We start from the raw sequence: 9127 nt of genomic DNA, 5'->3' as shown, positions 1-9127 counted from the left end.
CCTGTGGTTCCTGAGCTCATAGTCTCAGAAGGTAGAAGGCAGGGTCATTACGTTCTGACGTGTTCATTGCTTTTGCTACCAGTAGTTTGATTAAGTATATTTTTCCTAATGACATCGTTTACCCCTACTTCTACTGGCAAGAAAACCCCACCACAACCCATAAAGCAATGCTTGATAATCTCCCACAGGGAAAGAGCAAATACAATCTAAACAAAATCTCCTTCAAAAAGAGACTGTAAGTAATTTGAGCATAGAGAGTAGATGGAAAAGGTTCAGCAAACAGGCACATGATAAATGGATAAAACTGTGAAATGTTGCCTTCCTAAAATCTCCAAGCTTTTCCCTTATTCTTGATTAAATACACGATATAATTATATAAACTGTCACAACCCTATAGATATGTTAATGCCTAGTCACTACTGTAGCTTATTAGAAACCTGATTTGAGATGATATGTTACAGTATGCTTTAGTTTTCTTCTTGACAATTGAAATGAATGGGTTAAATTTCAATGATCTCTAGCTCAGGCAGTATCCTCAGGGATGTGTGTCCCCTGTGGTAAAGGTCCAGAGTACTTTCAGGGATGCGGCCTAGCCGCAAGCTTCCAGAAGAATAGGTCCTCAGAATGAAAAACTGCTAGTTGGACCTTTTCCTGCCATCCAAAATCATTTCCCCTAAAAGACACGGGAGCTGCAGAGCCCCACGAAACGCAGGTTTCCAGAGACCTAGTGTCTTGTAAGTTGTCCCCGTAAACAGCCAACATAAACAGCAATGCATGGGCAAATGCGGGCATAGCACTCTTGAAAGTTCTATTCGCTTAACACAAATCATTAGATATGATCCAAAACGAAGACACGGCCTTCTTATTCCCCAGCTCCTCCTATTTCTCAATGTGTTCTGAAACGGGAATCCCAACAGAGACACATGTATTTAGAAAATGATTACCAGTTCCTCGTTTGTCAAATCCATTTACTAAAGATTCACAACCACCTAACAAACTATTAGAAAAGCAATTTTATTTTTCACAGATTCCTATAAACATAACTAGAATAACATGATATCTGTGCAATTAAAGCTATTTTCTGTGAAATTGAAACATTGATTTATTACCCCAACATTTTCCCATTAAAATAATCTGAGTTGCAGCATAATACATATTTGAACAACCTTTTTATTATATACGATATGCATTTAGGAAATGAGTTATTTTTCTCTTCCACACCATTTTGAGTGCAGCCTCTTAAGCTTTAGGTTTGCTTCTTATCTGTTTCCTTTATTAGAAAAACTTAAAAATCAAAGTAACTAAACTTCCACACTGGTATATATATATATATATATATAGAGAGAGAGAGAGAGAGAGAGAGAGAGAAGCCAGTGATTCTCCCCCAAAACCATGGTGATACCAAACATAGATAATTCTATATTGTTAGAGTGTTTGGTCTTCCTGTCTCAAATAATATGTCAAATTGGGCAGGTAATGCATTACTCACTGCAGACATATACACACAAATGCTGCACTACCTATGTTAAATGGGGTGACATTTCCCAGGGAGGTTACAGCAGCATCATCTTAGAAATGAAATTCTAATTCTCCTGCTCACAGCCTGTGTGGCCTCAGCCCTTTACCCTTCTGGTCTTGGGAATCTGCATTTCTGGTGGGGGAAATGAAATAATACAACTTAAGTTTTCCATGTGTACAAAAACAAATAACAGGTGTGAACAAATTTTTAGCTATGAAATACTTTCCAGAATTAAGGTAAAAAAAAAATCCCACCAAATGTCAAGAGTTTCCCAGGTTCCAGTTCACGAATAATGGGAAATCTCCAGGTTTGCAGAGGGAATGAGCTCTTACACGGTAATCTGATCCCAGTTTACCATTTTGCCATTTTCATTCTTCAGTGGAACTGTCAGCTTCCTGGCATGATGAAGGGCCAGGTTTCCGGGAACTGAGGTATCCCACTTCGCTGGCCTTGAGAAAGTGGAAACTCTCAGGTGCATCTCCATGTGGGATGGTGATTGATCTGTTGGTGAGGATCGACCATCTCTGCTTATCTCAGGAGATACTGGCCTTATCTGTTTACCAAAAGGTAAAAGGGTTTTGTTTCTGGTACGTCTTGCTTCTGGTACATCTTCGTGCTTTGGAATTCGATCTTTAAAAAATGAGTTTACTTAAATTTGCAAAGACTTTTTACCATGAATCATAGTGAAATATAAAAATACTTTAGTCAAAATGGAGAAGCTATGATTTGGAGGCGGACGGTCATTCTTGGGAGCATGTCAGCTGTGTGGCCTGGTGCTGCTCCTTGAGCTTTCCAGACCTCAGGCTCCCATCTTTGCGCAAGAATTTTGCACCGTGAACAGTCCGTGGATCACGCCCTTTATCCATCTGCAAACCCCTAACTGATGAGATCTTTGTTGAATGTTGATTTAGGGTACAGCCTATTGCAACTTTCCAATTAGCATCACCAGCTTTGAAAAGACAGTTACTCTCCTAATTCCTGACTGATGCTTACTGTACAGTAGTTTCCCCATTAAGTGTTTAGTTCTTGACATCTTTGGACATATGTCCCTTCACAATGCTATTTTGTAATATTCTTCTCTGCGACCAAAGCACACTGAGGGAGAGGGGACCTACGAGGAGGGGAACATGAAGACGAAAACATGCTGCTCTTCCTTAAGCAGAGGATGAGATGGAAGTGAATGGGGATGGTGACGGTGATAATTAGAGATGCACAGAACTTGTCAACTCCACCTCACGTGGGTGCAGATGACATTCTGGAAGCTTCTGGAATTCACCTGATCTCACACCCTGGAATTTCCCCTGTGGTTTATTGGTTTGCAATGTTAACGGCGTAGGTAAATCCAGAGAGAAGTCAATGTTAATTTTTCTCCAATCTGTGTTGCTTATTTTCACTGTTTTACAATATAAGGGATGAAGCTGACTTCATAAATTCTTACCATCCAACTGCATCTGACAACATGCCACGGCAATGACAGAATCCTAAAGTCCTCCTGGAAATCTTGTATTTCTCAATAAAATTAAATTCCATGCCAACAATCCCTTGATCTGAAAAAATGAAGTGTGCCTCCAGCTGAACCTGCCGCCCGTTCAGCCGTGTACTAAAGGCACCCCAGCTGTATTGTGGCTCTATCACAAATCTTTCCAATTTTTCTCTCTCCATCTTTTCACCTACGCTTTGCTTCTGATAGACTCCCAAAATACTTAAAAATGTGCACCTTCTTCCATCCAAAGTCATTCCATCTGTAGTCACACTTTGTCACAAATCAAGTTCATTCAATTCAAGGGGGATCTGAGGACAAAGACTAGAAAGGGATGAGATATTGTAGGGAGGTCCTCGAAGGGAAGGCCAGCTCTGGCTTCTCTCTGCCTGTTCCCATGCTGTTCTTCCTCCTTCCCTGACCTGCTCCCTTTCTTTGGGTGCCAAAGCCGAATGAAGAAAACAGTGGCATCCATGGAATCGCAAACCTCTCAGGAAGGGATGAGGGAAGAGGCAGTGGTGGTGGTTCTGTGTGGCCAGGTGGGAATTGGGGATGGGGGAGGCAGAGCCATGAACCCAGGAGGGGCACCCCGACAGGGAGAAGCATCTGCTCAGTTTTCCAAGTACCCTTGCCGCTGGAAACGAGGCTGGAGGTGCAGGAGACACACATCAGTGGACGGCTTCTGCAGGGCAGGGGCTGACTTACAGCTGCTGGTGACTCTGGACATGATCCTAGGGTCACGTGACTCATCTGGGTGGGTTTAGCAGGTGCAGCTGCTTCCCAGGCCAGCACCTCAAAGGTGTGCACAGACCACGTGGTCCCTGAGGAGCTCTCCTGGAGAGGCGCCCTGGACCCCTGCCTATCCGGTAGTGCCTTCCCACCACAGGCTGAACATGATGGGGGCCCTAGACGGCTGCGGCTGCCCTAGGGCTGTGGAAATGAAGCTGGGGCCACTGACCCCATTCCCCCGGCCTCATTCCTCTATTGAGGACAAGTGATGCCTCTTTGCAAAGCTGTTGTGTGGGATGGAGATAATAAGATACACAATGAGTCTCCAACACACAATAACACAGTAAATAAGTACTTTTCCAGGTACTGCAAGAAGAACTGTAGTGATTAATAATATTAATGCAATGATTATAGAAGTCCTGGTAACTCAAAATTCCTGGAATGAATAGTACTAATGCTTAAAAAGTTAGATGGTTTTAAAACTGTTTAGTACATTAAGTTACTAATGCTTAAAAAGTTAGATGGTTTTAAAACTTTTCTCTCAGGGACATATATCTACATTTCTAAGATGTATTTATAATATAAATCCCATTGAGAATAGTGCATTAGATACAGCCCTTGCTGCCATCTTTCTGCTTCTTGTGCCATTATAATTCTTAAACTGGTACATGTAAGGGACTATTACTAACAATTAAAATATTTTGGGGAAAATTAGATTCCAAACAAGGCCCCCGTACGATTTTCCCTTCTGTTTGCAGGAGGTCGGCTCGTGTTTTGTGCACTGGACTCTTTTTCAGAGGACGCTCGTTGCCAGAGGCAGAGAACCACACAGGCCTCTGCCAAGTTTTCTCCTGGGGCTTCCTGTGGTCAGGAAGATCATAAGGAAAGGGAGTTCAACACGCTCCCTTTTCCTTCCTGCACAGATATGTCCCTTCACTGTGAAGCCTCAAAGGCCTCCCCGTGCCCCCAGCTCACACTGGGATTGGCAGCCTTTCCTTTCTGGGAATCACCAGTTCTGCAGCACAAAGCCGTTTGTCGGGTCCTCCACAGAGCCCTCCCCTCCGGGCCCTTCCCTCCCTTCGAGCTGCCCGTATGATGACGGTAAGACACACAAAAATCCTTACCACACTGGCGACGGGGAAGATGGGAAGAGCCTTTCTCTAAAGTGTTCCAAATATTACACTGTCAACCTAGACACACCTTATGTATGTGAAACTCTAGAAAAAAGTAAATTTCAAAATGTTCACTATTCTGATTTAAAGTTCTCTGTTGGAATTTTAATTTTAGGAACTACACAAATGTCTTTTTTCACCGTTAATTAGAGAGTCCAGATAACATTTTCTTCTTTCATGAACACAAAAAGCATTTGCCCCCTCCAGCCATGGTGCCTTCCTGATGGGGCCTCAGTTTTATTTTTGCATTGGTCACAAGGGTTGATTGACATGTTATAGGAGAATATTAGTTGATTGATTTTTTTTCATATTTTAAATCAGCAACTACTCTCACACTGCTAGGCAATGTTATTAAGCAACATTCTTAGGAACTGTGAACAAACCCAAGCAAAGCTGAAGCAAATGTTCTACCTAATTATCCTGGATGGACAGAAGTTGGACAGTTTATTCTCAGGCAAATTCCAAACGCCAATTGCACCCTAATTCCCAGATGTTTATTTCTTCAGAGCTCTCCATGCCTCCTCAGCCACCAGGGTCGCTGACCCAGATCTCTTCATCTCAAATGTGCTGCGCTTTGCACAGGGAGTGAAGTTCAGCCCCGGTGTCTGCGCCTGCCGGGTCCTCCCAGGAGTGGCCGAATGATTGTGCAACCCTGCTTCAGCTCTTTCATGAACCCCAGTGTGCCTTCACTTAGTGACTAGAGTGGGATGAAGCCCTCCTCCTGATGGCTGGTGAACCCACATTTTCCCAGCCTGAAACTAATTGGCTGGTGTGGTGATCCGTGACCCAGGACTTATTAGGGTCATGTTTGAGGACTCCAGCCTCAGAGTCATATGGTCATCAAGGGGAAAGGACACACATCATAAGTCCAGGAGAGAACCTAGAGCTGAATCCCCTCTCTGGAAAACATTGAACACAGAATTGAGAGAATGTGCCATTTATGATAAAACCGAGAGACAAATTCCAGTGAGAGAACAGGAAACTTCCACTTCTGACAGTTTTGCTGAATTTCATCAATTGTAAGTCAGCAACATATTGACGGTAGAAAAAAATCAGATTCCCTGATAAATTATCAGGGCTTGATCTGTAATCGAATGCTCTCATGGTAGATATGTGTTAATAAAAGACAGCCAACATCTACACAAAGTCACTCCGAGTACCAGACAGTGAGGACACTCTTCCTGAATGGAGACCTGGGAGAAGTTTTTCTTTATTTCTTTGAATACCTACATAAGGGTCTCAGCTAGGCGAGGTGATCATAATAAAGCACACTGGCTGAGATCCCGTTTTGTAGGTGGAAAGAAATCCATGTAAACAGCTCTTTTCCATTACAATTTAAACATAACTAGATTTAACATGGACTCCTGAAATTGGGATATGGTGGGGAAAACCCAAGCCCTTTCCTCCCTGTTACCTGCCCTCCGCCACCCGCTGAGGTTGGCCAGACCAGGCGGGCTTGGGCTGGTGTGGGGGCGCCTCTCCTCTGGAGCCATGGCGCTGATCAACGTCTCCCATCGTTCCTCCTCCCCCTCCTTTTCCGTCAGATCATCTTGGCACAACCAGCACAAACAAACTTTGTTAACGGCTTTAAACTTGGAAGCTCGCTTTTTAAATATTTGCCGCTACATAATTGAAACAGCTGTTTTAATGAGATACCTACTGTCATCATTTTACCCTGGCTGAGCTGGGTGACAACAAAGCAGTAATAACGAATTCAATAATAATTAACTCGGGTCATCTGCTCATCTGTCACGGCCCATCAGCTTTAGGGAGAAAAATCCCAGTGAACTTCTCTCTTTTGTGAGCTTTCCAAAACCCTGTAATAAAACGCTTAGAGAGGACTCTAGGTAGCCCTTCAAAAGTTCTAAGCAAACTGGTAAGTAGGTTAATTAAATTTTATGCATGTTTAAATGCTAATGATTACATTCCTGACATTACAGTGTAATCTGATATGGAATGATGTCATGCAAGCAGTGGTTTTAGTGCCTAAACACATTCCCATCCCCACGCCGAGCAGCAGCTCTGGATCATTTATCGAAGGGCAGGACGTTGACAGCGGCGTTGGAGAGCAGGTTTTCACTCAGGTCCCTGACTCGCCTGATGCATGCTAATCAGGGAAGTTGCAGGAAACAACCGCCCTCAGCCCAGCAGCAAACCGGGGAGGGTCATCAAAATGTTCGCTTTTTTTGCCCCCTGCCTGTAAATTCATAGTCCTGGCACCGGAGTGAGGACGCATCCCGCCTGCTTGCCAGGATTCTGAAAAAGGAAAGTGAGGTCGAGTGTCCTCCTCCAACCCAGGCTTTCCTCTGCTGCTGCGCGCCCCACCTCTTCCCTGGCAGCACGCACAAGATCGTCAATATTTCTGAGCGAGGAGGATTCACAGATGCACGGGCTCCTGATGACACAGAGGGAGCCACAGACATTATCAGTGCTGGCTCCAATTTCACCAGGAACTTAGGGCAGCGCCTCTCAGACCGTACTGGGCACAGAGACCATCTGAGGGTCTGTGGAGATGCAAATGGTGATTACGCGGATCTGGGGGCTGGCCTGGGAGTCTGCATTTCTGACAGGCTCCCAGGTGAGGCTGATTGCTGCTGGAAAGAGGACTGCGCTTTGAGGACTCAAGGGTACAGCTCTGGCCAGCTGCAGACAAAAGGAAGCAGAAAACCCCCGTTACTCTAAGACAGAACCACTCTCATCTCAATGCATTTTTTGTTAATTTCTTTATACTTTTAAACAACGATATTTGGAATGCCTTCTGAATTGACTGCCTTAATTGTACACGAAGCATTCTGATAAGCAGCACTCTCTGACAGGAAGACGTGGTGTCTTCTGTTCCATTATGAAGCTAATTTTTTATTTCCTGCTTCTTCCTCTAAACAAAGCGTAGCTGATGGAGCGCTTTGGCTATGGAATTACGTAACACAGAGACTACGATATATCAAAACATGAGAATTTCGATTAGAGTGTAACAGGACTGCAGCCTCCACCACTGCTTCGGATCAACCACTAGTGACAGTTGTCGTGATAACTACAGAAATTAGTACATTTTCCCTTATTCAATTGAGACACAAAAGGATCCTGTTAAATTAGTCTAGTGATATCTTTTTGGAGCTGGATTTTGGCCCAGGTTTGAGGGAACTGAGCTATAGCCCAGATACCACATCTTCTGTTATAAATAGTGAAATTCCGTTGATAGCCAAACTAAGTCCTAGCTGACATTTCAACATTATGCTGGATTGCGAAGGAAAGTTCACAACTCAAAACCAAATGGCCCACATACTGCTCAGTGCTTGATTCATAATGCAGTTTTTCCCAAATTAAGCATTATTGCAACATAGTGTTCTTTCCCAAAGAACAGTCAGCTCAAGCCTTCTGTGCATGGGATTGGAACAAGGATATTTTAGACAAATGGCACCAGCAGGGCAAACGTATGGCAATATCCCCAGTCACTAGTAAATAGCCCCCTTGTCCCATAGCTGTTCTCAATACACCAGGAAGACCTTTAATACGCCCTGCATGTTTCAAACAGCATCAGAGCAAAACACCGCAGCAAGCCACCACACACACCTTGGTGAGCAGTTTTACCATTTAACACTGTCTGTTGATGTTATCAGTGTTTTGAAGAGATTCAGAAGAATAAATGGTTTTGTATTTCAAAATTATCTAAGAAAAAAAACAGTCCAAAATGGCAAGCACTGCCTTCCTTGCTCTGCGCATCAACAAAGGAAGGTAAAGTTTATTCTGGGGAGATATTCGCAGCTGTGGTCAAGCTAGTGTAGTTGGATAGCCTGAAATTTGGGGCCGACCTTGTTCTATTAGCTATTCATCTAGCACGTAAGCAGATTCTATAAAACACAGTGTCACTGATAAGATGCTAGGAGACTAAATGTGACCTTATGGTCAAGAGGAGCCCAGATCAAACACTGAATGTAAGAGCTAAGACTATAAAACTCTTAGAAGAAAACATCAGAGGAAAGCTTCATGACATTGGGTTTGGCAACAATTTCTTAAATATGACACTAGCATCGGAGACAAAGAAAGAAAAAATTGGAGTTCATTGAAATTAAAAAATATGTGCACCAAAAGACACTACCAAGAGAGGAAAAAGGCACAGAAGGGGAAAAATATTAGCAAATCATATATCTGATACAAAATTAATATCCAGAATATATAAAGAACTCATAGAACTCACCAGCAAAAAAAAAAAAAAAAAAAAAAAAAAAA

General features: G+C 43.3%; 2 annotated features.

Annotated features, from left to right (window-relative positions):
- Window positions 3284–3783: an enhancer, noted in NCBI's record as "H3K4me1 hESC enhancer chr18:76057205-76057704 (GRCh37/hg19 assembly coordinates)". NCBI's record gives its function as "activates a minimal SCP1, AML or CMV promoter by ChIP-STARR-seq in primed H9 embryonic stem cells {active_cell/tissue: H9 hESC(primed)}" and the evidence as "EXISTENCE:reporter gene assay evidence [ECO:0000049][PMID:30033119]".
- Window positions 3784–4285: an enhancer, noted in NCBI's record as "H3K4me1 hESC enhancer chr18:76056703-76057204 (GRCh37/hg19 assembly coordinates)". NCBI's record gives its function as "activates a minimal SCP1, AML or CMV promoter by ChIP-STARR-seq in primed H9 embryonic stem cells {active_cell/tissue: H9 hESC(primed)}" and the evidence as "EXISTENCE:reporter gene assay evidence [ECO:0000049][PMID:30033119]".

This window comes from Homo sapiens, chromosome 18, assembly GCF_000001405.40.
Source record: "Homo sapiens chromosome 18, GRCh38.p14 Primary Assembly".
Lineage (NCBI taxonomy): Eukaryota > Metazoa > Chordata > Mammalia > Primates > Hominidae > Homo > Homo sapiens.
This window is presented reverse-complemented; position numbering and strand designations above follow the sequence as displayed.